This window comes from Homo sapiens, chromosome 17, assembly GCF_000001405.40.
Source record: "Homo sapiens chromosome 17, GRCh38.p14 Primary Assembly".
Classification (NCBI taxonomy): domain Eukaryota; kingdom Metazoa; phylum Chordata; class Mammalia; order Primates; family Hominidae; genus Homo; species Homo sapiens.
This window is the reverse complement of record NC_000017.11, coordinates 20528593-20556324: the sequence shown is the minus strand read 5'-3', so window position 1 is coordinate 20556324 and position 27732 is coordinate 20528593. Positions and strand designations below refer to the sequence as shown.

The 27732-nt window shown below is 48.8% G+C and overlaps 1 long non-coding RNA gene and 2 pseudogenes across 1 annotated transcript, besides 3 other annotated features; all 3 read left to right on the top strand.

The window, feature by feature from the left end:
- Nucleotides 753–1323, top strand: LOC100132977 (chromosome 2 open reading frame 27B pseudogene; annotated as a pseudogene).
- Nucleotides 5594–6093: an enhancer, noted in NCBI's record as "H3K4me1 hESC enhancer chr17:20453545-20454044 (GRCh37/hg19 assembly coordinates)". NCBI's record gives its function as "activates a minimal SCP1, AML or CMV promoter by ChIP-STARR-seq in primed H9 embryonic stem cells {active_cell/tissue: H9 hESC(primed)}" and the evidence as "EXISTENCE:reporter gene assay evidence [ECO:0000049][PMID:30033119]".
- Nucleotides 5596–12844, top strand: TBC1D3P3 (TBC1 domain family member 3 pseudogene 3; annotated as a pseudogene).
- Nucleotides 6094–6595: an enhancer, noted in NCBI's record as "H3K4me1 hESC enhancer chr17:20453043-20453544 (GRCh37/hg19 assembly coordinates)". NCBI's record gives its function as "activates a minimal SCP1, AML or CMV promoter by ChIP-STARR-seq in primed H9 embryonic stem cells {active_cell/tissue: H9 hESC(primed)}" and the evidence as "EXISTENCE:reporter gene assay evidence [ECO:0000049][PMID:30033119]".
- Nucleotides 23070–26283, top strand: LOC100996294 (uncharacterized). The gene is made up of 2 exons (XR_007065660.1): nt 23070–24123; nt 26045–26283. It is a non-coding gene; the product is annotated as an uncharacterized LOC100996294 (long non-coding RNA).
- Nucleotides 23673–24261: an enhancer, noted in NCBI's record as "NANOG-H3K27ac-H3K4me1 hESC enhancer chr17:20435377-20435965 (GRCh37/hg19 assembly coordinates)". NCBI's record gives its function as "activates a minimal SCP1, AML or CMV promoter by ChIP-STARR-seq in naive H9 embryonic stem cells {active_cell/tissue: H9 hESC(naive)}" and the evidence as "EXISTENCE:reporter gene assay evidence [ECO:0000049][PMID:30033119]".
- Nucleotides 26284–27732: the final 1449 nt, after the last annotated feature.

Genomic DNA, 27732 nt, shown 5'->3' with positions numbered 1-27732 from the left:
TTAATCACAGCCAACCCTCAAATAATACGCATAGTGTAGGACTCTTACAACGTTACACTCCCAACTCTTCTCCCCACCCATCTTTTGTTTTCTTTCTTTCCACAGATTCTGTGTCCGTCTTCCTCTCCTCATTGACTCTGCATGAAGGGGATTTCTGGTGGGGTAACGGTAGCAGGCGAGAAATGAAGTACCAAGAAACTAGCAAAGGGTCTTCTGGTTGTCTGGGGACAGTCCTCCTGTCATCCCCAGCCTAGTCTCAAGGGTTCTGGGCCGGTCACCCTGCGGCCTCTGTGCTGTCTCTGGATCTGGTCTCCATGGTAAGGACCCTGGGAGACCCAGCAGAGTGGGGTGCCTGGGTTGACAAACATCTTCCTGTTCCTCTGGCTATGTGGCCCAGGAATAGGCCCAGACAGTGCATCCAGATGTGCGAGGCCACATCACTGCCCCGTTTGAGATGGCCCAGAGGACCTTGTGGCACAAGCGTGAAGCTCAGCACCCGGAGCCTGGGACAAACTGCCCCTCCCTGTGTCCTGGAGTTGGGGTCCAGTCCCGAGAAGACTCTCAGTCACCTGTGGGTGCTGATGAGGGGAGGGAGAGGTCTGTGGACTGAGAAGAGCCATTGGTAGGGGACTCTGAGCACCACCGCTCAGCGGTCTGGTCAGTGGGGGTCTGGTCAGCAGAGATTGAACTCTGGGGCTCAGACACAGAAAACCTGCTCAGTGACCCTTTCTCCTTTTTCAGCTCTTGCCGCACGTGCAGAGAGAGAGGAACTTCCAGTGCCCGCTATGGAGCCACAGCCCACAGCATGGGGAAGTCCCCATCCAGAGGCAGTGCTGCAGCTAGAGGTAGCTCCAGAGTCCTCCGGGCCCTGCACCGATACAGCCAAAGACCAGCAAAGCGACAAGCTGCCAGACCTCATGCCACCTGCCGTAGCCACTGGGCTCAGCCCTGGAGCTGAGAGCATCGCTGGAGATAGACGTGGCAGAGAAGAGGTTGCGAGCATGGCCCCAGCCAGCAGCTCCCACGCTGCCCCTAGTCCTGGGCATGGAGCGAGCCTTGGTGTCAGAGACCAGGGTGTGCAGTCTGAGCTCCTCTACCTTACTAAAGAGAGACCTCTTTTATTTACCAGAGCCACAGCCCTGCTGCCTCAGGACCTTTTCATTCTGCCGGTGCTGGGGCTGTCTATCTGCAAGCTGGAGGTGTTGAGAGCAGGAAAAGGAGGCTGTGAGGAAGGGTTCGGGCAGCTCCTCCTGCTCTCAGAGGTGGCCTCCTCCTCCAGGCATGGAGGTCTGTCCACTACTGGGCTTCTGGGCTATTTGCCCCTGATTTGCTCCCTGGTACGGGCTCTTCTTAACAGGCAGGCAAGGGGTGCGGGGACCAGGCGAGGGCTTCAAAGGGTACAGTACCAAATCTTCCAAACTCAGCACTTGTGCCCTGGGGTCTCCAAACTGTCTTCTGCCCTAGGATTTATTCATACTGTTAAATTACCAGTTTATGCAAATGATATGTAAATAAAGCTCAATTTTTTGAAACTTCATGCCTTTTTGAACTCCCTAATGTTAGATGGTGTTTTTGAGGCTATCTGAAAATCTCTGATAGTTGTGTCTTTTGTTGTGGTTGTTTGTGTGATTGAGTTACCACCACCAAATCAACTGTTATCGGAAACATTTCAGGTATGGCTTTTAGAAGACCTGGACCTACTCTTGCCTGTTTTGACCCTCCAGTTTATTGTGGAAGGAAGGATCATGTGGTTTCATGTCTCCGGCAGATCAGTCACTTTCCTCCATCCATAGCAGGGAGGAGTCATGGCACCCCAGAGGGATGAAATACTTCTCCCAAAGTATTTCTTATTCTGTCTCTTCCTCTCTCTCATTCCCTGCTCCACATCTCTCTGTCTCCTTTTCCAGTTCTCTCTCCCTCCTCATCTCGCTGCATGCCACTGTTCAGGCTCCTGGGGCTCCACGTGGATGGGCGGACACGGGACTCCTAGGCTAATTTTCACGGCACAAGCACAGGGCTGCAGGACCTAGGTCCCACACCTCCCAGCACCCTCAAAACGAGAGGTGTGGGGTGTGCCCGTGCTCTCCTGGGTGGGTGCCCCACACTCCAGGAAGCAGAAACTGCAGGACAAAGCTGGCACAAGTGACATGCCCACGTGGCTGCCAGCTTCCCTCTTGGGATCTGCTGAGGCCAAAGCAGAAGACACCTGCCCACAGCCGACCCTGCACCAGGGTGGGGGAGGGGTGGGTTTGGGAGTGGGAATGGGGATGGGAACAGCCACTGCAAAGCAGTCCCTGGCTGGCTTCCTGCCCTGAACCCTGTCATGCAAGGCCTCTCCTCCCGCCCCACCCCTGCCCCTCACCACCTCCACCCCTAGGCTGTCCAAATCCAGGCTCCAGAAGTCTCCCAGGATCCAAGAACTAAGGGCAACCACTGGGCTCCGCAGCCCCTAGTCCATGAGTCAGCCACCCCTCTGCATGCTGACAAACCTTGGCTGTCACTTATCCTCCACCCCAAACCAGCCCCAGCCCCATCCTACTGCAGGCCTGTGTGGCTGCTGGAGAAGCCGGGCTCCTTTCCTCACCCCAAGGCTGCCTGATATACTTTCTGGATCCTGGAGAAAACTGACCCACTATTCTCATACTGGTGCAGCTTCTTCCAAGACCTCAAAATTGGACAACGTGAACTTGTCTTGTTTCTTGTCTCTTCTTGCTAGGACTGTCATGGGGACAGTCCGAGATGGGGGGTGGGGGGAGACAATGGATGAATGGATGGATGAATGGACATCCCCCCACCAGCATTACCACCTCCTCCTAAACATAGTCCTGAGAGCTCTATTTCCTGGTAAACTTCCCCCTTCCCACCCTAGTCCAGGGAAGCCCAAAGGCCAGCGCCCTCCACCCACCCTTCCTGGGGTCCACTCTACTGTCTGCTTGCCCAGGTGTCTTAACCCGGCTTTACCAAGCTAGAACAGATAGCAGGGATGAGCCCCCAGCCTCTGCCAGGAAGATTTGCCAAAATGTTCTCAGTTTAGAAGCAGGGGCAGTGACGGGGCCTAGGGATGACTCCAGGGTTGTCACTCAAGTAGCAAGAAGGGCAAGGAGCCCTGTTTCTTCCCCTTACCCTGGGAGAACTTGGCCGGGGCTCCACAAGGCCCTGCAGGGGCAGCAGGAGAGCAAATCTATGCTCCTTTTGAGGAAGTCACCACCATCCCTAGGAAGCAGCAGATGGGGGCGCACTGGCAGAGCCCTCGCGTGCTATAGGGCGAGGCCAGCAGATCTGTACTCAGCCTCAGCCCCAGGGGAGCTGCAAGATAGACTGAGACCCTCACAGGTTTGGCTCTGTGTCCCCACCCAAATCTCATCTGGAATTGTAATTCTCCTGTGTCAAGGGAGGAACCTGGTAGGAGGGGATTGGATTTGGGGACAGTTTCCCCCGTGCTGCTCCCCGGATAGTGAGGTAGTTCTCAGGAGAGCTGATGGTTTCAAAATGTGGCACTTACTGGTTCTCCACTCACTCCCTCCTGCCATCTTGTGAAGAAGGTGCCTGCTTCCCTTTCACCTTCTGCCGTGATTGCAAGTTTCCTGAAGTGCAAGTCAATAAAGCCTGTTTCCTTTATAAATTACCCAATCTCAGGTATTTCTTTATAGCAGTGTGAAAACAAAAGAATACAGTCCCCTTCCCTGAGGTGCCTTCTCCTTAGGCAACCAGCTGCCCCCATGCTCCTCCTCTGCCCCCTGGTATTTCCTTTCCCCTCATGAGGCCCAAGTGATCCACATGGCCAGCCCCAACCCCATCCTACTGCAGGCCTGTGTGGCTGCTGGAGAGGCCGGGCTCCTTTCCTCACCCCAAGGCTGCCTGATATGCTTTCTGGATCCTAGAGAAAACTGATCCACTATTCTCATACTGGTGCAACTTCTTTCAAGACCTCAAAACTGGACAACATGAACTTGTCTTGTTTCTTATCTCTTCTTGCTACGGCTGTCATTGGGAAAGTCCGAGATGCGGCAAGAGCTGAAAAAGGAGAGCTGCTCAGAGCTGAAAAAACCTGCTCAGTGACCCTTCTCTTTCGTCCTCATGGTGGCTTCGTAGAGTGGGTGCTGTTCCCGAATGTACCCATTCGACAGGTGAGACATCTGGGGTCAGAGAGGCGGTAACCGGCCTGGGAATCAGACATGACCCTGGATTCTGCTCTCAGCCCTGCTGTGTGCCGTGCTAGACTTCAGGCCTCAACCCTGAGACCTCCCTGCTCTAGATCCCAAATCTGCCCAGATTTCCGATCCCGATGGGGCAGAGCCTGGCCCTGGCAGAGACACTGGAATGGATCCACTGTGGGTGGGGAGGAGGGAAGGGTCCTCAGAACACACCTGGGGCCTAAGCTGGGTCCTGATGGTCACCGTGGGACCCACTGGACACACATGGTCCCTTGTCTGGGAGTGGCATGGGGAGGCTTCTGCCCTTGGGCAGTTGTGGAAAGTGAAGGAGCCCTGGAGGACTGGCTGAGGGGAGACTAACTTCCCTTGTGTTCAAAGGGGTCCGGGCACTGGGGTTCTCCCCAACTATTTCTTATTCTGTCTGGCCTCGCTTTCCTTTTGCCCTGAGTATTATCAGGAGGGACGGTCCATCTAGATGTTCTCCAGGAGCAAGGACCCACTCTTCTACATCAGTGACACAGGAACATGAAGCCCCCTCCTGTAGGGACAGCTCAGAATGGTGGAGTCCACAGTCCGTCCCCGAGAGACATGGTTTCCATGAGCACAGTGGCTGCTTTGGAGACAGTAGATCATTTTCATCCCCAAAACCAAACACACTCCTGCTCAAATGGCGTTATTCTTAAAGCAGCTTCACTGGTTAGACTGAAGGGCCATGGTAGCCCAAGTGATGAGCGGGGTAGAACGGAGCAATCAGGAGAGATCTTGTTCCTCATAGGAAACTGGGCATCTCTGTGGCCCTGAGCATCCCAGGAGGCCGATCGTACAGAGACCTCTGGTGCCTGACCGCAGTTCACATCCACATCCCTGGAATAGCCCATCACAGGCTCTTCACCCTTGGCAGGTGGACACCATTCAACCTGCCAGGGCAGGTGTGTGCCCGTTTCATGGCATATGGGGACAACGGGATTCTCTGTCCAGGTCCCACTCTTCTCGAGTCCTTGGGAAGATGCCCACCCCTGCTTAGGGCTTCAGACTGCAGAGACCCATGGATGTGTGGGCCACGGGGTTTGGACCCTTTTTACCAGAGCGCAGTGGTGGAATGCAGGTTATACAACCAGCCAGCATCTGGGAGCCCAGCGGGAGCAGTTCAGGGGTTCTCTGAAGCTGTCGGGTACAGTGTAACCTTTAGACAACTTTGTCTCACAGGATGGACATGGTAGAGGGCGCGGATAGTGTGCAGGCATAGGAGCGGGAGGACATAATTATGAAGTATCAGAAGGTACAGTTCGGTCTGCTCCTTGGAGGGAGGCCTTTTCCTGTGCGCCCTGGTCAAAGGGTCCTGGGTTCCCTCGGAGCACAGGGCAGGGACAGGTGGCCAATACCCCCAGGCCCTTGCACCCTTTACCTTGGACCCCTCACCAAGGCTCCCTCTGGGTTACAGGGACACCGAGCTGGGCTGCCAGAGGACAAGGGGCCTGAACCTGTTGGAATCTACAGCAGCGTTGATCGCTTTGGGATTCTGCAGTGAGTCCTCTGTGCTCCCCTCACCCCTAAAGCAGCTGTCTCAGCTCAGGGATGGGTTTGCTTTTAGAAAGGCCTTTCTGACGCAGGACATGTCTCACCAGGTCGGGCCAACCTCTTTTCCAGGGTCAGAACTCCTCCCTGGCTCCCCTGCAGGTCCAGCCCGAGATTGTTGTTAGGCCAGAGGTGCAAGGCCCATCTAGGGAGCCGGTGGGAATGGAGAGGGGGCTAGGCCAGGCCCCTGGGCTCTCAGCAGTTCTGTCGGCAAGTTAGCACAAGAGGAGCGGGGCAGCCTGAGGTTCTGGCCCTGTCTACCAGGAGACAACCCCAGTGAGATCCAAGGGTTGTGGCCACAGGGTGAGGAGACACCTGGCCCAGCCTCAGGGCTGCTGTCCAGCAGGTCTCTCAGAGCCCACCTGCCCCTGTCCTCCCCCATTTCCCTAGAACTACAGCCCTCACTGTCCCCATGGGGAAGGGGGAAAGGTGTGGGGACAGTGGGGGCTTTGGCCCAAAGAGAATGGGGGAGAAGACGGGCAGGGCCCCGCTCTGGGCATCTCATGGTGAGACCAGAGAGGCAGCAGGGCTTGTGGCTAAAGACCTGGGTCTGGTGCTGGGAAGGCATCTGGGGCCAGGTAAGAGGAGCCCAGCCAGGAGCCCATCCCTCGGGGATCATAGGATGCAGAGACAGAGGATCCCGGGGGAGGTAGGGTGGGAGGGAGCTGATGAGCCGTGCCACTTCTGAAATGCAGGGTGTGTGGCTCAGATGCAGGGAGAGGCAGGTGGATGCTGGGAGGTCAGAACCTGCAAGAGCCTTGGGGCTGTCAAGTGGGATGGGCCCCTGGTGCACCCAGAGTACACCGGGCAGGTCTCAGGGCAGGCTCCCTTGACCCTGGCGGGGTGATGTGGTCACTCCCTGAGGGACTCCTGTCAGGGCCCGGTCGCCCACCCTGGGTGGCCCCCATCCCATCTCAGGGCTAACCTTTCTCAGCTCCAGCAGAAAGCACCACCTTGAGTCCAGGACGCGCAGCCCCATTGTGCAGCCTGACCACCCCCCATGCCAGGGCCCCAGTAACCCCAGCCAGGCTGTCCCTGCACTCCTTCTCCCAGGTCCTGCCCCTCCTGGGAGTCAGCCCCACAGGAAGGTCCTTGTCCTCCCTTCCCTGTGACTTCTCCTGGGCTGAGCCCTGAGCTGGATAGGGACAGTGCCAGTCCTTTCTGGGGGTCGGCTCCCAGGCTTGGGTGGCTCCAGGCCCTGTGCAGGTCCTCAGCTCTGCCTGAGTTGCCTTACAGTGAGACGGAGCTGCCTCCTGTGACTGCACGGGAGGCAAAGGTAAGAGCCTGATGCATGGAGGGGCTGGTCCAGGGACGTAGGGACTGGGCGGGTGGTCAGTGAGGCAGAGGAAGCAGCTGGCCTGGGCGGTGGCGGGTGAGGGCAACACGCTGTCACTGGGAGGGGCAGCAGAGACCTGACCCCAGTTGCTGTAACTTTGGCAGTTTGATAAAATTCCAAAGTGAGAACCACAGTCCTGGCTTGGGGGTGGCTGCCCGCTTGTGTCAGGAACCCACCTAGAGGCTGGGACCTAAGACTGGTGTGTCTGTGGCCTAAGGATGGCACATCCTGGGGTCCCAAAGCCAGCCCACTGGCGCTCATTTGCTCAAAGGCTCTCAGCCCTTAGGGTCTGCCCTTCCCTGGCTCCTTCCAGCTGGGTCCCACCAGGGCTCCAGAGCCCAAGACCCAGCATCCACGGGCGGCTCTGGGAAGCCTGGCAGCTCCGCTAACTCCAACATTCCTCATTTGGCAGCAAATTCGGCAGGAGAAAAAAAGAAAGAGCAAGTGGCTGGAAATGCTGGGCAAATGCGAGTCATATAAAAACAGCAAAAAGGTAATGTGTGGAGGGAGAGGCCCCGGAAGTACTCTCTGCAGAGACAGAAGAGAGGCACCCATGGCTGTGGCCTGGCACCGTCAGCCTCTCAGAGGGCGGGTGGCACACTGTCCTTGCACAGAAGACTGCAGGCCTGGTCGTCAGATTGCCTGCCTATTCGTGCAAGCGTCACCTTGCTGGGAGGGAATCTGAATCTAGGGCTGGGACCACCTGGAGCTCAAGGCTAGGGATGCCCTGGTGACCTGAAGGAAGAAAAAGGTTCGGATCACAGTTTCAACTCTGAGTGTCCATCCACTCTTTCAGTCCTGGGAAGGGAGACCCTGTCCCAGCTTGATCTCACCTCTACTGAGGAATCATGGGGCCAAAACCAAAAATTTCCAGAATCCCTGGGCTCTGATCCTCACTGGGGTCACCCCATGGCCTGTGACACCAGATTGTTTTCTGCCCACAGCTCATAGATCGCATCTATAAGGGCATTCCCATGAACATCCGGGGCCTGGTGTTGTCAGTCCTCCTGAACATTCAGGAAATCAAGTCAAAACACCCCAAAAAATACTAGGTATGCTCAGCCAGAGCACAACAAACAGGACAGGCTGTGTCAGGGGCCCAGGCCTCCAGCTGGAGTGAACGTCAAGCCCAGCCTGGGGGGGTGGGGGGGATGGTCAGATGCACTTCCTGGGCACAGATGGTGACATAGTCACCACAGATGAACTCGGCTCTGGTGACCCTCCCTGGCTTCAGTAACAAGCCAAAAAGCAGCTTTCTGCACAAGGAAACCTTCCTTCTTTCCTTCCTTCCCAAAGCGCTGACTGTGGGCTGACTGCCATTTGGGGCAGGGAGTCTTCCATCTGTTCTGAGGCTGCTTCCTCCTCTTGGCCCTGCCCTACAGATCATGAAGGAGAAGGGCAAGAGGTCTTCTGAACACATCCACCAGATCAAACTGGACGTGAGCAGGACTCTCCAGAACCATGTCTTCTTCAGGGATCGATATGGAGTGAAGTAAGCCTACGAGAGCCACAGGGTCCCAGAGGAGATGGGGTGAATGAGAGGGATGGGGACTTTCCCAGAGCAGAAGCCAGGATCACCCAGGAGGGATGACAGAGCTGCCAAGAGCTCTCCTAGCCCAGGGAGCAGCCGGCACCATGAACCAAGCACCTCCCTGGTTCCAAGCCCTGGGCCAGGCTGGAACATGTGGGGCCAGAACCCAGGAGGATCCTGAGGAGACAGAAGACAGCAAACAAAATCATGCATAATGGTGAAAGGTGCTCTCCCTGACCCACGGGGACCCATGGTAGGACCCACGGGAGGGTGGCAGGATGGAGAGCCCATGAGCCTCCCCAGGCAACACTGACAGCACCAAATGCTGGGAGAATTAGGGGTCCTGGAAACTCTCATCCAGGTCTGCTGGGAATATGACATGGCACAGCCACGTTGGCAGCCAGTTGGGCAGTGGCTCACAAAGCTCAATGGACTTGAACCACACGTCCCCAAGGTGTCACAGATATTGAACCCACTGATTTGAAAACTGACATCCACATGAAACCTGCATGCCACGTTCACTGCTTGATTCCTCATCAGTCACACACGAAGCCTTCGGGGATGGCCTTCAACACGGGAATGGGGAGAGACAGTCTGGTCCTCCTTTCAAACAGAAGACCCAGTGAGAAAAGGGAATGAGCCAGTGATGCCCGCAGGAATGTGGGTGGATCCTAGATGCATTTTGCTAAGGGAAAGAAGCCAGACCCAATAAGCTACCACAGTAGGATTCCCATTCCTAGGCCATTCTGGAAAAGACCAAACCATAGGGACTGAGAAGCAGTCTGGGTGGCCAGGGGCTGACGGATCGGGGAGAGGCTGGGTGCATAGGGGAAACCCTGGAGATTTGAAAGATCAGGAGTCACTCCAGGAGGGGCTGGAGTGGTGGCCGGGAGACTCTGCACACTGGTTTGGAACCGTGGAGGAACTGTACACCCAAAGACTGAACTGGCGTGTGTGCAAACTGAAAAAAAAAAAAAATCATTCAGAGTGAAAAGGATCGGTCAACTCCCTGTACAACTGGGCTATTTGCATGTCACAGATGTGGATTTTACTGAAACATTTCTTCAATAATCTCAGGCCCTGAAAGTTCACTGCTTATCTGGTGAATCATCTGAACCTGAAATGGGATTTGTTTTTAGGATTTGTAGACAAAGTGAAACTAACAGCATCTGCACAAACCAAACCCTAGCCCCCTTTCTCTGTTTCCTAGGCAGCGGGAACTATTCTACATCCTTGTGGCATATTCAGAGTATAACCCGGTGAGTATTCCCGGCAGTGAGGTTCCTGGGCCATATTTCCATATTCACAGGAGTGGGTGTCTGATGGGGGTGTCGTTGCTTCTTTTAAAGTTAGTATTTGTGACCCACCAGGATATAGGAGGTAGGATTCCAGGTCACTGCTGGCATAAACCTCCAAGCAAGGGGGTGGTCTCAAGGGGTCAAGCTGAGACACAAAGGACTTGGGGCCTGGACTCCTGGTGTCACCTGGGCCTGTCACCTGGGCACTTCTCAGAACAAGAAATGACACCCTCCTCCTGGGGCTGCCCCAAAGCCTGGGAGCTTGGCAGTGTCACATGCAGGACGGTGCTCTCAGGAGACAATTTGGACAAGGTGCTGAAGTGCCTGATGGACTTGGCTCTTGTCATGAAATGAATTTGCATCCTGAGGAAGCCTCTTCAGAGGAAGCCTCCCCAGTCACCTCTGCCCTCTCCAATGACATGAGTCCTCCCAGGTGACCTCGGCCCTCCCAGGTGATGTCCTTCCATGGCGATTCTGGCTCTTGCAGGAGGTGGGCTACTGCAGGGACCTGAGCCACATTGCCACCTTGTTTCTCCTTTATCTGCCTGAGGAAGATGCATTCTGGGCACTGGTGCAGCTGCTGGCCAGTGAGAGGCACTCCCTGCCGGGTAGGTGAACAGCTGCCCGTGGGGCCTCATGCAGCCAGATCTGGGGACAGCCACCGTGGCCAGGTGATCTCGGCTTTCAGCCAAGGCACCATCCTTGTGTCGCCAGCTTGTTGGGAGCCTTTAGGACGTCTCTGCTGAGGGTCCCACAGGAGTCCGCAGCTGACCCCCACAGCCCAAGTCAAATGCCTTTCATCCCCATCAGCAGAGGGCATCTCATCCTCCCCGTGGCCACCCTCTGTGTCCTGGAGCCACGCCCTCCGGCTCTGACTCTGTGCAGCTGACTCTCCCCTCCCTGAGAGTCCTCCTGCCCTCCAGCTGCCCAGGCTCCTGCTGCCCTTGGTGCCCACGAATGGGCTAACCAAGCCCAGGTGGCAGCATCTCCCCATCCCGTGTCCCCTGGCCCAACCCCACTTCCACAAGATGACCAGGAAGCCCAGCACCCACCGTGTTCTGGCTGCTCTGTTGTGACCTCAAAGTCAGGCTTGCCCTTTTTGCACCCTAGCCCAGGAGGCCTCCAGGGGAACCTCCAGCCAGGCTCCAGGGGATGTTCTTGTCCCACCTCCCCAGGGCAAAGGCCGCATGGTGGGGTCACCAGATGGGAGGGTGGGAGGCCTTCGGGTTTGGGGGCCTCTGCAGCTGCCCAGCTCTTGCAGCTGATGGCTCCACATCTTGGGGGAAGGCTCTGATTTCATGATGGGCTGGGGGCTTCTCAGGATTCCACAGCCCAAATGGCGGGACAGTCCAGGGGCTCCAAGACCAACAGGAGCATGTGGTACCCAAGTCACAACCCAAGACCATGTGGCATCAGGTGAGTTTATTGTCCCCTTGGCTCTTCTCAGAGGCCTTGCCTCCCGTGGGGCTGTAGGAGCAGGGGGACTGGAGACCCTCGTGGGACTGGTGACTGGCGGAGTCCCAGCCAGGGCCTGACCTGAGACGTCGGGTTCTCCATGGGCTGGGAGTTTGTTTCCTTTCCTGCCCTGGAGGAGACAGAGGCACAGGGATGGGGGCCCCGCTCCCGCAGAGCAAGTCAAAGGTCAGTGTGTCCACTGAGAGTGTGGGAAGGGGACAGTGTTGTGGGGAGCTCTGGACACCGCCCAGTGTTCTGCACTAGGGGAAGGGTCTTCAGAGGCCCTGGAAGATGGAGGTTTTTAGGGCAGCCCAGGGGGCCCTGAGCACCTCTGTTCCTCCCATCAGGACAAGGAAGGTCTATGCGGACAGTGTTCCTCATTAGGCTGCCTTCTCCGGATGTTGATTCAAGGGGTAAGGAGGCATAGGGAGACCCTGGCTCAGGGACCCTCCTTGCCCTGCAGTGCCCTGCTTCCCCAGTCCGGGGGTCTGGCTCACTCCCAGCCCACAGGAGGCTCAGGCGGGTCCCCGAAGGACACACAAGCAAAACCCTCTGCCCAAGAGGGGTCATCCCAGGGCAATGGCTGGGGCTCAGGCCCAGCCTCATGGGCAGACTGGGCCAGGACCCAACTTGAGAGGGCTCAGGGAAGCCTCAAGCCCTGGGCAAGCCCCTCTGTCCAGGAGCCACATCCCCACTCAAATGAGTGCCCCCTATGAGGAGCTGCAAGACCTTGTCTGACCCACCATTCTAGATGGCTCAGGCGACCCTCATGGGGAAGGTCACTGACTCTGGAGACTGAAGCCCCAATGTGTGCAGCTTGAGCCACCAGCCCCAGCCTGGAAGGGCCAGGTTGTCTCACACCTGCTGTCCCCACAGATCTCTCTCGGGCTCACCCTGTGCTTGTGGGACATGTATTTGCTGGAAGGACAGGTGTTGATGCCGATCAGAAGCATTGCTTTTAAGGTTCAGAAGAGTAAGTCTATGTGTACCCAGTGGGGCCTGGGGAGCCCTGCGGTCAGACCCGACTGGCCCAAGGGCAGCTTCCTCACACTGTCCTCATGATCCTCTGTTCTGGCCCAGAGGGAGGTCTGGCCAGGTGGGCTTGGGAAGGGCACTGTGATGCCGAGCCCATCCCTCACATGACCCAGATGAAAGTCAGGAGTGTGGTGAGCACTTCCCTGTCCAGATCACCCCCCAGCCACAGTCTCCTGTGTACATCTGGACGCCTGGGGTGGCCACAAAAGGATCCGGCACGGCCCAGTGGGAGACTGAAGTGGCCACGGGGTATGAGCTGTGACCATTCCCAGGTAACTGTCCTGGCCTGATATCCACCCTGTCCCTAGAGCGCCTCATGAAGACATCCAGGTCTGGCCTTTTGGCATGTTTTCGGAACCAGTTCTTCCATACCTGGGCCACGGATGATGACACTGTGCTCAAGCATCTTAGGGCCTCTACGAAGAAACTAACAAGGAAGCAAGGGGACCTGCCACCCCCAAGTGGGCTCCAGTGCCATGTCCCCTCCCATGTCACCCTCTGGGGCAGTCAATAGTGGGCGAGTGCCCCGGACCAGCAACCCTACTACCTGGGCCTTCCTCTTCACCTTTTCTTCCTTCTCTTCCTCCTGGACTCTAAGAAAGTACAGGAGGCCCACCAGTCCTCAGGGCAGGCGCTCAGTGTGTGTATACCAGACATGTTGTGTACGCAGGAGGGGGATGTGGGCAAGAGCCTCCAACAAGCCCCCTCCCACTTTCCACGGTGTCTCGCTCTGCCCCTCACAGGGCCCTCAAAGTTACTAGAGGAGCCAGACCCATTTGTGGGAGACCCCCCCACTCCCTACAAGCACCCACAGCCTCAGAGAGCAGCAGAGGCCCCTCACTCCTGCACCTCCTCCAAGGTTGCCAGGACAACAAGCCTTGAGCAAGGGAGACAAGGGAATTGGGTGTCCCTGACCCACAGGGCATTCAGGGAGAGGGCACAGGCAGGACCATTTTCTTGTCTACTTGATTTTAGAGTCAGTTCTTACTATTAGGCAGCTACTAATTAGTTGATATTAAAACCAGCCCTCGTTTAGGCATTTTACTTTGATAATATAGTTTTTATTATTTAGGCATTTTATAAACTTAACCTTTCTCTTGCTATCTCCCCAGAAAGATGACAAACCTGCATTTATAGTTTTGCAGCTACAGATAATTGTACAAGTAACTAAATATGTGGAATTGTTAATTTGTGTCAAGCACTGTACTAGGCATATTATATACATAATTTATTTACTCTAGATAGCCCAGTATAAAGTAGTTACCATTATAATCCACATTTTTCAGATAAGGAAAATGAGGCACAGAGAATTTAAGAAATATATATAAGTTACACTAGTAGGATGTAGCAAAACCCACATTTAAACCCACATTTCTCCCCAAAGAGCTTAAACTCCTAACTTTTATGTTATACTGATTTGGTACTTATCACTTTTGAGTCTCAGTTTTCTCATCTAGGAAGTATACTACTTCATTTGTTCATTAATTCATTCAGTCGTTTCATTGTCTACCACGTGCTAGGCTATACGGAGGTGCAGGCACAAGGATTAACCAGGAAGAAAACAGACTGTGTGTGCTGTCAAGGGCATAACTTTCCAGTGAGAGGAGTCAGAGAGCCAGGAAGTAAATGACTGTAATGTCATGTGGTGACAAGAACTTTTATGAAAAATGAAGTAGGCTAAAGTAGAGAGAAAGTGTTGTATTAGAAGCACATTTTACATCATATGTGGAAAATTCTGGTAATGAGATATTTGAATAGCAAGAAGAAGATTCTAGGCAAAAAGTAAGACAAAGCTTAAGTAGGAGGATGTTCTGGGAAGAACGTGCCCATCAGTGAGGCCAGAGCAAAGTGCACAACGGGAGGATGGTAGACGACAGTTTCAGAGCAATGCCAGGAGCTAAATAATGCCAGGCCTTGGGAGACATTGTGGTCAGTTACTGTCCAACCAGGAGGCTGAAACTGCACAGTAATTTGAATAAGGAAAATTGAAAGTAAATAACTGTTAACTATTTCAGGGAATTCTCTCTTAAAGCAGGGGTGTCCAATCTTTTGGCTTCCCTGGGACACATTGGAAGAATTGTCTCGGGCCACACATAAAATACATGAACACTAATGATGGCCAATAAGCTAAAAAAAAAAAAAAAATCACAAAAAACCTCATAGTGTTTTTCTGTTTGTTTTGGGTTTTTGTTGTTGTTGTTTGGTTTGGTTTTTGTTTTTTGGGTTTTTTTCTGATACGGAGTCTCGCCCTGTTGCCAGACTGGAGTGCAGTGGCACCATCTCGACTCATGGCAACCTCTGCTTCCTGGGTTTAAGCAATTCTCCTGCTTCAGCCTCCCGAGTAGCTGGAACTACAGGCACACGCCCAGCTAATTTTTGTATTTTTAGTAGAGATGAGGTTTCACCATGTTGGCCAGCATGGTCTCGATCTCTTGATCTCATGATCTGCTTGGCTCGGCCTCCCAAAGTTCTGGGATTACAGGTGTGAGCCACTGCACCCAGCCTGTTGTTTTGTTTTTTTGGACAGAGTCTTAACTCTGTCACCCAGGCTGGAGTGTAGTGGCATGATCTCGGCTCACTGCAACCTCTGCCTCCAGACTCAATCAATTCTTGTGCCTCAGCCTCCTGAGTAGGTGGGATTACAGGCATGTGCCACCACACCTGGCTAATTTTTGTACTTTTAGTAGAGAGACGGGTTTTCACCATGTTGGCCAGGCTGGTCTTGAACTCCTGAACTCAAGTGCTCTGCCTGCCTCGGCCTCCCAAAGTGCTGGGATTATAGGCATGAACCACTGGCACCCAGCCAAAAATCTCATAGTGTTTTAAGGAAGTTTACAAATTTGTGTTGGGCCTCATTCAAAGCAGCCCTAGGCTGTGGGTTGGACAAGCTTAGGAAAGGCAAAGCAAACACACACACAAAATAGGGACAGCAAATTCACGGAGCTGCCAATGTGCTCTCCAGAGCTTCAGGCAAGCACTGCAGGAAGAAACAAATCTGGAAGAATCTCCCACACACACCAGAAGTGAGTGCTAGACCTCCTTGGAGAGGGTGAGGATGTAGCCTGCTAGACAGCAGAGAATTTTGCTGAGTTTCTACACTGACAAAACACTGGAAAACTGCTCCCCTAAGTGCTGCTTGTGACCTGCTCTGTCCCCAGAGAGGTGATGGCCAGGGTTGGCTGCTGTCCCCCACAAGAGCAAGGTAAGAGGAGCACTCAGAACTAGAAAGAGCCCCAACCTTCTCCAGCGTCCCTTTAGCAGATGCTGCAGATGAAGTTTCACACCGTGCCACAGAAAAGGCAAAGCCGGCAAGCAAGGTAAAGGGGGGAGGTTTGGAACTGATGGTAATCAGCTCAACAGTGCAAGAAAAATGAGTTTTCTTTTGAAAAGACGTTCAACATCACTGATCATTAGAGAAATGCAAATCAAAACCACAACGAGCTACCACCTCACACTAGTCAGAATGGCTATTACTAAAAAGTCAAAAAATAACAGATGCTGGCAAGGTTGTGGAGAAAAAGGGAACACTTAGGCACTGTTGGTGGGAGTGTAAATTAATTCAGCCATTGTGGAAGACAGTGGCAATTCCTCAAAGACCCAAGACTGAAATACCATTCAATGAAGCAATCCCATTACTGGGTGTATACCCAAAGGAATATAAATCATTTTATTATAAAGACATATGCATGTGTATGTTCATTCCAGCACTAGTCACAATAGCAAAGACATGGAATCAACCCAAATACCCATCAACGATAGGCTGGATAAAGAAAATGTGGTATATACACACCATACACCATGGGGTACTATGCAGACATAAAAAAGAATGAGATCGTGTCCTCTGCAGGGACATGGATGGAGCTGGAGGCCATTATCCTTAGCAAGCTTATAAGTGGGAGCTAAATGATGAGAACACATGGACACATAGAGGGGAATGACAAACACTGGGGCCTTTCGAAGGGTGGAGGGTGGGAGGAGGGAGAAGAGCAGAAAAAAAAAAATAGTGGGTACTAGGCTTAATACCTGGATGATGAAAGAATCTATACAACAACCCCCATGACACAAGTGTACCTATGGAACAAGCCTGCGTATGTACCCAGACCTTAAAAGTTAAATTTTTAAAAAAAAATAAAAGATGAGTTTTGCCCTCATTCAAAGAATTTGAGCCAAAGGGTGACATTTTAAATGATATTTTTGAAAAATCGGCTAGATGGCTTCATGGAAAGACAAAAGGAACAATAGAAGGAGTAAAAAGCATCTAGAAGGACAGGCTACTAATCGAGACCTGAGATGACAGATGGGAAGGGGTGGAAGCAGTAGACCTGTAAGAGATGCTTGGATTCACAAAAGGTTTTTTTTTTTTTTTTTTTTTTTTTTTCAGTGCAGTGGCGAGATCTCGGCTCACTGCAAGCTCCACCTCCCAGGTTCACGACATTCTCCTGCCTCAGCCTCCCGAGTAGCTGGGACTAAAGTTGTCCACCACCATGCCTGGCTAATTTTTTGTATTTTTCGTAGAGACAGGGTTTCACTGTGTAGCCAGGATGGTCTCGATCTCCTGACCTTGTGATCCACCCTCCTCGGCCTCCCAAAGTGCTGGGATTACAGGCATGAGCCACGGCACCCAGCCTCATTTGCTGTTAAACTCATTTATTGAGTCACCTTTTTCTTCCTCACACTTTTTAGTCTTAGAATTTTTGTGTGTTTTTATTTACCCTAACCTGTCAATTTCATAGTTTCCACTTTCTTGTTGAAGTTTCCAAACTTGACCTCATGCCTTTGAATATACTAATTCTAGTTGCTTTGACACATTTTTTTCTTTTTCCTTGGCATCTGTTTATTCCTTCTCACAGTGTCTTTTTTCTTCATTGACCCTCACATCTTTGAGCAAATGTACAAAATATAGTGGGTGAACAACTGGTTTTGTCTGTCTTTAGAGGCCCAACTAATGTTTTCTTTCTCAAATGATTGCTATTTGCTCATGCAGAAGTATAAGGACAGTCAAATTCTGAATTACTTTCATAAAAATTTGGAGTTGGAACCTTTTTGGGCACTCAGTTGGAGAGCAGCCAGCCTGCTGTGGTGACTGGGTGAATTCTGGTTCCTTCTCACTGCTTTAATGTACCAGCAGCTTTTGATATCCATGACCAAACTGGGGGCCTCTGCAAGACTAGCAGAGGTTTAACACAACCTGGTAGATATCCCATCTGAAGTAATAAATGGCTCCAGGGCAAAGCAGCTCTTATTTCTCTAAATGCTGTTTCTCTCCAAATCTTAGCCTGACAATTCTTAGCTGTGCATTAACTCAGTTAGTGTTAAAAAATAATAATAAATTATTACCTCTTATTTATTTTATTCATTTATTTATTTTATTTTTATTTTTTTGTGATGGAGTCTTGCTCTGTCACCCAGGCTGGAGTGCAGTGGCACAATCTCGGCTGACTGCAACGTCCGCCTCTGAGAATCAAGGGATTCTCCTGCCTCAGCTTCCCGAGTAGCCGTGACTACAGGCGCACGCCACTACTAATTTTTGTATTTTTAGTAGACACGGGGTTTCGCCACGTTAGCCAGGCTGGTCTCAACCTCCTGACCTCAAGTGATCCACCCACCTCGGCCTCCCAAAGTGCTGGGATTATAGGCGTGAGCCACTGTGCCAGGACCTGATTTGTTTTAAAATGTTATTTTACATACAAAACCTAATTTAAATTATTCTAGGATACCTAATCTGTCTTTATCAGAAGCATAAGTCTGACATTTATTCATCATAAAAAATGGTATTTGAAATTTTCTCTCACTTGTGTTGTTTTGTTGTTGACCTCACAAAATTATCTTATAAAAATGTTCTTGATTATGTCTGATAATATTGTTTTATTTGACAAATAATTTTTTCTTTGCGCCATTCTTGAAACTTTTATATTGTAACGTTAGATGAAAAGAATTAAGAACTATCTTAAACTGGTGTTAGAAAGCAGTGCTTACTAAGGACCTATGTGTTAAAAGAGAAATGGCACTATTTGTCAAAATGTCTACACAACCACCTAATTTGAATGTATGCTACACTGCAAATAAAATGTTTATATTTATAAATGTCTTATTTTTTGTCACAGCGTAGACTGAATTGGAGAAGGAACAAAGAAATCTGTAACCGGTGTGATCAATCAGTTGTAAACACCAGCCTCCAAATTACCTGTTATTAATTGTTGGTACTGAGCGTTCACAGTGAAATAGAACCATCAGAAAACATGGGCAAATAAAATTATTAAAAATTCATCTCTATGATGTGCCATGTTCTGAATAGGCAGTTTCTGAGTGTCTGGGCCATCTGTACAAGAAAGAGAGTTGTTATTTGGTCAAGGACACGTGCATTTTTCAGTCTAGAAGAATGTCATCATTTTCTTGAGGTAATTGCAATGTTCCTACTCTGTATCAAACAGCAAATACCTCTGATTCCTAAGGCAACAGCATAGTTATTATTTGATTTTTTCCAAGTGAATAAAATGAAAAATGAAATGTTGTGTCACAATCCCAAAACACTGCTGGCATATGGAATAGTTGAGATGATAGAACATGATTTGACAACTCCAAACTGAAAATATCTATCCAAGCAGTTGCACTCCTGAAAAACTATTATATTGTCTGGCAAAAGACTCTCTCATGATAGGAAGGTTTTCTAGATATTTCTAGAAATAGAGACAGGGATAAAACTTTATGTGGCCCCAAGAAAAGGAATCAGAATTGAGTATTGTCAATGATTGCTTATGGGCTTGAGAATTAAGAAAAAAAGGACCCCTCCCCACAGGTACCAACAGTTACATAACCACGGGTGCCATGGAACTAATTTGACATACTGAAACAATTTTCTATAATCATTCAGATTTCTGACAAATCAAAATATAACTATCAAATTCATACTTATGTTAGTTACAAGTCAAATCTTATTTTTAAAAAATCCAAATTCTTTGAAGATTTATCTTAACAATGACAAAGCAATTGACTGGGAAGTAGTTTTGTTAACCATTCAATTGACTATTTGACCTAAGAATGTTGTATGTATATATATTTAATTTCTATTAAACAAATGAACATATTTGTTTATACCATATAGTTATAGTTTGACTTTTTTTAAGAATTCAACCAAAACCATCAATCCTGAAGTATCAAACTCCAGTGACTTCAGCAATTCTACTTTAGAATTCAGTTATTTGGTAACAAATGTAAGTAAAATATTAATAATTTCAGCCAGACGCAGTGGCTCATGCCTGTAATCTCAGCACTTTGGGAGGCTGAGTTGGGCGGATCATGAGGTCAGGAGATCGAGACCACGGTGAAACCCCGTCTCTACTAAAAATACAAAAAATTAGCCGGGTGTGGTGGCGGGCGCCTGTAGTCCTAGCTACTTTGGAGGCTGAGGCAGGAGAATGGTGTGAACCTAGGAGGCGGAGCTTGCAGTGAGCTGAGATCTCGCCACTGCACTCCAGCCTGGGCAACAGAGCAAGACTATGTCTTAGAAAAAAAAAAAAAAAAAAATTAATAATTTCATGGTAACCCTCTTCACTTTTTTCAAAATCAGAACAACAACATTTTACCTTTGCTGATTATTAAGGAATGTTCTCAGTATCATCTAATATTTATGTTCTTGCAAATGCAAGCACTGAACACTGGTATTTTAAATAACATCTTGTTTTTAAAAATCATGTATCTTTCATGCATCTGTAACCATCTGATCAATGATCAGAAAACGGAAAAGTCAGTATCACTAGGATTCTCTCAGAGAGTCACATTTAATTGGCTGGGCCCCGTTTGAATTTCCATCTAGAATCTTCTGAGATTAATGTAGAAGTAATCACGGTGCATAAAAGCAGCTTAAAATACTGGACATAGCTTCAGTATCAGAACACTTTCAACTATAGTGTGACGTGCACAATTGCTTTATTTTTCTTGAATATTTTCTTTTCCACTTGGTTAAGAATTTAGCAGATTGTGCTTTTCTGGAGAAAAAAAACCAATGTTGGAAACCAAGTTTTATTTAACAAAATTAAGTGATTTAAGCACAGAGAGATTTTGAACTTAATTCTACAGTATGTGTTTCACAACAAATTTCCTTGTATTAACGGTACGCCATTTCATACACAGAGCAAGTTCGAGCACCGCAGAACACAGCTAATTTTGCTAATGTATCACAATTACAGAAATAGCTGTGCTAAATGAACTTGTCCTATTTTCATGAAAATGAACAGTGTTCAATAACCCTCAAAATATTTTATTTCATGCTGATTCAGATTTTCTCTAACCATTTTTTTCTGTGACTTTGCTTCCACAATAACATAGAATGTTTTTAAAAAGGCATATGTAGTTTGTTTTCATATATATTTTCCAGATATTCTTTCTTAAGAAAGCATGGTAACTTGCAGTTATTACCATGCGTATCTTTTTTTTTGGCAAAAGGATATAATTTGTTTTAAAAAGCCAATCCAAACACTGTCCTATGTGTATATAGGGTGGCCATGCTGTTAAATTTGCACATAGACTGTCAGTGACTGAGGATGACCCAAATTGCAACTTCCTGTTTTAATGTTGCAAATGTTGCCTATGCCTGATGGTGTGTCAAATACCCAAAGCTTGCATGGAGGGACCTAACAATGGACCTTTTCACAGCTGTGTTTCCAGAATCTTTATTGACTTTACTTCATAGTATACAATAAGATGAAAACAAAACGCAAACCGCCTGATTTCCAAGAGCTTATTTAAAACCAAAACCACCATGTGAGACTTAGTATAGTACACATTAGATATGGATGACATTTCTGCAGTAAGTCATTGTAAGTCTAGTAAATATCCAGATGATAACATCTATTTAAGAACAGCACTGATAATTATATACGAGGAGGTCATGTTAAGTATTCCACAACAAATTAAAGAGATGATGTCCATGAAGTTATCTATGTTACTCTATATAACAGATGGAAAAAGCTTGGGTAATATTCAGTGCGGATACTGACTTGTGTTCCTGACTCATAGGCAGTGCTCAGACACATTTAACCCACTGTCTGACAGAATGAATGAACGTGTGCTGTAAGTGAACCCGTTCTGGGCATGAGGTTAATTATTTTCTATGAGAGTACATTAAATCATTTTCTTTTCCAAGGGTAAATGAAGCCTTCAATTTGATTGAATAAAATACAAGATGTGCACCACCATGCCCGGCTAATTTGTTTATTTTTGTACAGGCAGGGTTTCACCATGTTGCCCAGGCTGGTATGGGACTCCTGAGTTCAAGCCACCCACCTGCCTTGGCCTCCCAAAGTGCTAGGATTACAGGTGCGACCCACTGCACCTGTCCTAAAAGACAGATTTTGCTTAATTTCTACACTTGATGTTCTGGTACAGACATTTGCTTGGAAATACAGTATAGTTAGCGGAAGCCTTTTCATGGGGAAATAAGATATCAGTAAGTATTCCAGGATTTTAAACTAGAATACAAAAGAAGAAAATATTTAAAATAAACTATAGGGTAATATAAAATGTATTTACATCCTTACATTTAACTGCTTATTTTACAAGCAATAAGTTATCATTCACCAATTAATAATTTATGTCAAGTTCACCTGTATTAATACACATAAACTTCTATGAAGTTCCATAATGCCAAATAAAAAAGGAACATTTAGGTTTAACATGTTATTTTATATAGGCATAACGCAACACCAGCATTACAGGATTGCATTTACAAATTCTCTTGACTCTAAGCATGAAATTATGTTAAAAGACTAAGGCAATTTAACTGTTTTTGGGTTTTTTTATATTAAGGAAACCTAAATTTGTATGAGTGAATTAAATTGAATTACATTTTCTTATAGGCATATCAGTTTACCCTTTGTTAAAATAACACGCACTGCCCTACAAAATGAATGCCGTAGTCACAATCATGTTTCTGCCACAATCTTAAAGATTTGGGGAAACAACTACAATCTAAAATCAGAGACTCCATGTCCAATGCCAAAGGTACACACCTCTATTTTTCCCCAATAAGCTTCTTGGAAAAGTCTTTGAATTACACGTTAAAGTGCACTTCAAGGAAATGTGATGTTTTCGTTTATAGCTGGTGAACAGCATGCAATTTGACAGCACTGTCACTAACAATCAGAGACTGCTCTGGATCTAAGTACTAAAAATGACCCACACTGCAATCACAAGATATTTGGAAGTGGGAATTTATTGAACAAAGTTAGGCCGGGAGTCTAAAGCAGCACTTGCTTCTTTTGCTCCAAGACGACGACGTTTAACATTAGCATCACTATTGTTTCTTTTTCCCTCAACTCTTCTCCCACACTGCCTTCTTCTCCCCCACCACCTTCTCCCATCGTCTTTCCCCGCTTCCCTTCTCCCTCCCTCCGCTCCCCCTTCTTCTCCCAGCACTCTTCTCAGCCCGTCTTTCTGCCTTTTTCTTCCCCTCCCCACCTCGTTCCCTGCCTCATCCTCTTCTCTCCCACCCATCTTTTTCCCCTCTCCATCTCTTTCCCCAAGGTCGTCTTCGCCGCTTTCCCCTCCCTTCTTCTTCCCCCCAACCCTCTTCCCTCCTCCCTCCCCATCCTTTTCTTCCCTTCACCCCTTTTCCAGTCTTCTTCCCCACCTTCTGCCCTTTCCCTCCCCTCTCCTTCCCTCCCCTCTCCTTCCCGACCCTTCTCCTTTCCCAACGTCTTCCCACCTTTTTCTCCCCTCTCCGTCTTCTCCCCTCCTTCTTCCCCACTGCGGTCTTCCCGCATCCTCTTCTGCCGTCTCCCTACTGTCTTCTTCCCGCACCTTCTTCTCCCCCGCAGTTTTTTTTCCCCTTCCCCACCGTTTTCTTCCCCTCAGTCTCTCCCATTCCTCGCAGCACGGGTTCCTGTGGCGGCAGCTTTTCCTTCCATCTCCTTCTCTCCACCCGCTGGCTTCCAGTCTCCACCTTCCCGCCTATTCCCCCAGCAGCGTCTTCCCGCCGCTCCCTCTTCTCCCCTCCCCCTCCTCACCGTCTTCTCCCGGCCTATTACCGCCAACCGTTTTCTTCCTCACCCCGCACCCTTTTCTTCCCATGTCTGCCTTAGTCTTCTTCCCACCCTCTTCTCCTCTCCCCATCGCCTTCTTCCCACCCTCTTCTCCTCTCCCAATCGTCGTCTTTCCCAGCCTCTTCTCCATTTTCTTGCCGCCTCCATATCCCCACCTTCTCGCAGCAGCGTCTTCCTGCCGCGCTTTTCTCTCCCCTCACCATCTTCTCTTCCTCTTCCCCACCGTCCTCTCCCCACGCCCTCTTCTCCTCACTGTCTTCTCCCCGCGCCTTCCCCACAACCGTTTTGTCCCCCGTTTTCTTCCCCTCACACCGTTTTCTTCCCATGTCCTCCCACCGTCTCGCAGCAGCGTCTGTCAGTCGCAATCTTCTTCCCACTTTCTTCTCTCCCCCTCCCATCGTCTTTTTTCCCCAGCCTCTTATTCTCCGCCATCTTCTTCCCCTCCCCACCTTCTCGCAGCAGCGACTTCCTGCCGCGTTTTTCTCTCCCCGCACCCTCTTCTCCCCTCTTCCACTCCCCACCGTCTTCGCCCCCGATCGTCTTCTTGCCCACCCCCTTCTCGCGCTCTCCAACTGCCTTTCACCTAGAAGCGCTCCACGCGTGCGCCCGCCTGTGTCCCTGCGCCTGGTGTGTCTGTGCGCCCAGCCAGCCCCATGAGCTGGGCCCCTGAGCTCCGCCCCAACAGCCAACAGGAGACCCAGGAGAGTCGCTGCCAGGGCCATCACGGCTGCCGCCGCCCCCGCCCCCGCCGCTACCTCAGAACTGAACAGTGTTGGCTGCGGGCGAAAGACAGTGGGGCCCGGAAGACTGCGGGGAGAGGGGGAGGAGGGGACGGAGAGGGTGGGAAAGACCTTGGAAAGTGGGATGGGGAGAAAGGTGGGGAAGAAGACAGTGGGGAGAAAGTGCAGGGAGAAGACAGTGTGGTAGAGAAGACAGTGGAGGAAAACGGTGAGGAGAAAGGAGGGTGGAAAAGAAGACGATGAGGACAAGGCCGGGCGCGGTGGCTCACGCCTGTAATCCCAGCACTTTGGGAGGCTGATGCGGGCGGATCACAAGGTCAGGAGTTCGAGACCTGCCTGACCAACATGCTGAAACCCAGTCTCTACTAAAAATACAAAAATTAGCTGGGCGTGATGGCGAGCGCCTGTAATCCAGCTACTCCAGCGCCTGAGGCAGGAGAATCGCTTGAACCCCGGAGGCGGAGGTTGCAGTGAGCTGAGAACTCACCATTGCACTCCAGCCTGGATGACAGAGTGAGACTCCATCTCAAAAAAGAAGAACAAACTACAGCGGGGAGAGGGCGAGGGGAAGAAGATAGTGGGGGAAAAAGAGCACCGAGAAAGGGAGAAGAGATGGGGAGAGCTCTATTGTGTCACTGAACATTCCTCAGTTAAAGTTAAAATGTTCTCATAAGTTTGTGTGTTTTCAACTTTTGCTCTTCCAGTTGGTATATTCTTTTCTTCCTCCATCTCCTTTTTATAACTCCAACCACCTTTCTCTTTTTATTTTCCAATGTTTTTCTTTCTTCTAAGAACATTCTTAACGCTGGTAACACTTTACAATGTTGCAAAGCTCTGAATCCTATTTCCTGTCATCTCTTCATGCTTTCCCTTTGAGATATCAGGAGATTTTCCTCCTATTACTTTGTTTACACTAGGAACATTTCAGCGTGGCTAGACCTGTTTTCTACCTAATTTTTTTCAACTTCAAGCTTGAGAAACCCAAATATGCTCCTGGTTTTTGTTGTTGTTGTTGGTTTTTTTTTTTTTTTTTTTTTTTTTGAGACGGAATCTCTCTCCTGCCCAGGCTGGAGTTCAGTGGCAAGATCTCAGCTCACTGCAAGCTCCGCCTCCCAGGTTCACGCCATTCTCCTGCCTCAGCCCCCCTAGTAGCTGGGACTACTGGCGCCCGCCACCACGCCCGGCTAATTTTTTGTATTTTTTTAGTAGAGACGGGGTTTCGCCATGTTGCCAGGCTGGTCTCGATCTCCTGACCTCGTGATCCGCCCGCCTTGGCCTCCCAAAGTGCTGGGATTACAGGCATGACCAAATGTGCTCCTTTACCAATTGTTTCTGTCTCAGGAATTGGTTTCTTGTTGCACTGTGATACACATGAAGCCATATACCTTTTTCAGCTCATTATCCCCAGAATGTATTTGTACATTATTAACACAGAATAGACACCTAATAAATATTTCTAAATTTTTATTGTTCTTCCTTGCCACAAAACAGCAATCACTTTTTTTTAGCATGATGTACATGCCCTTCTATCATCTTGCCCTGAACTATTTATCAAATCTTATTTCTTCCCACTCCCCCATTTGTTTCCCGTGCTGTGGCTGTACAGAACTACTTAGAGCTCTGTCAACTCTCCATGCTATTTTATAATAATCAACACTAATGAAAAGAAAGGGGGCTTTATAACAGAGGCAGAACTCATTATGTTCTAAAAAATACACGCATGTTTCCCATGTTGAATAGTGTCCCGCAGAAAGTCATGTCCAGCTGGAACCCAGGAATGTTAAACTATTTGGAAACAGGGTCTCTGCAGATAACACTTAGTTAAGACAAGGTCACAATGCATTAGGGTGGGCTGTAAAGCCAATGGCTGTGTCCTTTCAGGAAGGTCGTGGGAACATACAGAGACCTACAGGGAAGACGGCCATGGGACAAGGGAGGCAGAGTCTGGAGTTACGCTGCCTACAGTCACGGAATGCCAAGGACAGCTGGAAACCACCAGAAGCTAAGAAGGAGATTTTACCTGAAAGCCTCTCAAAGAAATCAATCATACTCACACCTCCTTTTTGAATTTCTGGCCTCGTGAATGGTGAAAAAATAAATTTCTGTCGTCTTAAGCCCCACGGTTTGTAGTCATTTGTTCTGTTCCTAGCCTTAGGAAACTAACACAGCATGCTAAGGGAAAAGAAGAGAATTCTGCATAAAATGTCATTTTACTTTTTAAAACAACTACTGTTGACAGTAAATGAGTATTCTTCCAAGATTCATATGCAGAACATATATGCAGCCCGGAACATTTTTTGGGACCCATGGCATAAGTGATTATGATAGATAAAATCCAAATATTAACCTGCCAAAAGAGTTATTTTTTCTTTTGCAGTCATTTAAAGGTAATAAGCAGAGGTCATGAGCCCTGTAAAAATTAATCTATTCATTTGTTGTCACTTGATACTTACGATCCGTTGACATATTTAGGTTTTAATTCTTTGTACAGATTATGGTTCGTCTTGCACTGTAATTTTATTGCACAACAAATTTTTTATTTATCATATATCTAAGTTGTTTCTTAAACGTGAGTAACATTGCACTTGAAAATACTCAGAAGACTTCTGTCGACGTTCTCGTAACAGCTTCTTCTAGTTAATAAAAACCTAATCCCATTTTCCTATTATGTATAGATTACAAGTAAAATCGGCATTTAAAAAGTAAAATCTGTTCGACAATTTCTATTGCTATTGTAGGTAGTATAACATAAAATGTGTCTTATTTTTCCCTCACTCATTGACAATTTAAGTAAATTTTTTAAACCAAGAAGCTCTTTTCACATACCAGGCCCAGTGATTGGAATTGAGTATTCAGTATTGAACAGAGCAAACAAGTTTCTTATCATTAAGCTCATATTCTATGTTATAAACATTTTTCCAGTGAAATTACTGGAATGTTTTCAAGCAATATTGAATTGTGTTCTTATAATCACCTATCTCCATTTATTGTTGAGAATGAAGAAAATTTTGGAGCATACAATTCAATGCAATGATTTTTTTTTTTTTTTTTTTTTTTTTGAGACAGAGTTTCGTTCTTGCTGCCCAGGCTGGAGTGTAGTGTCACGATCTTGGCTCATTGCAATCTCCACTTCCTGGGTTCAAACAATTCTCCTGCCTGAGCCTCCTGAGTAGCTGAGATTATAGACTTGTGCCACCATACCCGGCTAATTTTTTGTTTAGTAGAGACGGATTTTCACCAGGCTATCCAGGCTCGTCTCGAAATCCTGACCTCAGATGATCCACCCGCCTCAGCCTCCCAAAGTGCCAGCATTACAGGCATGAGCCACTGTGCCTGGCCCAGTGCAATGATTTGATAGTTATTATGGTGGTTTTAAAATGACCTGAGTGAAATATAGTGCTTACATCAATTCCTTATCTGTCATGCATTTCATCTAGTAATCTGCTCTAACTACATTAACATTATTTCTTTTTATTAAATGTCTTGAGATTAAAAAAGATGTTTTGTAGTTATACTCAAGCTTGGAACCATAGTGACCAACTGTTACGGACAGACTGGATTGTATCCCC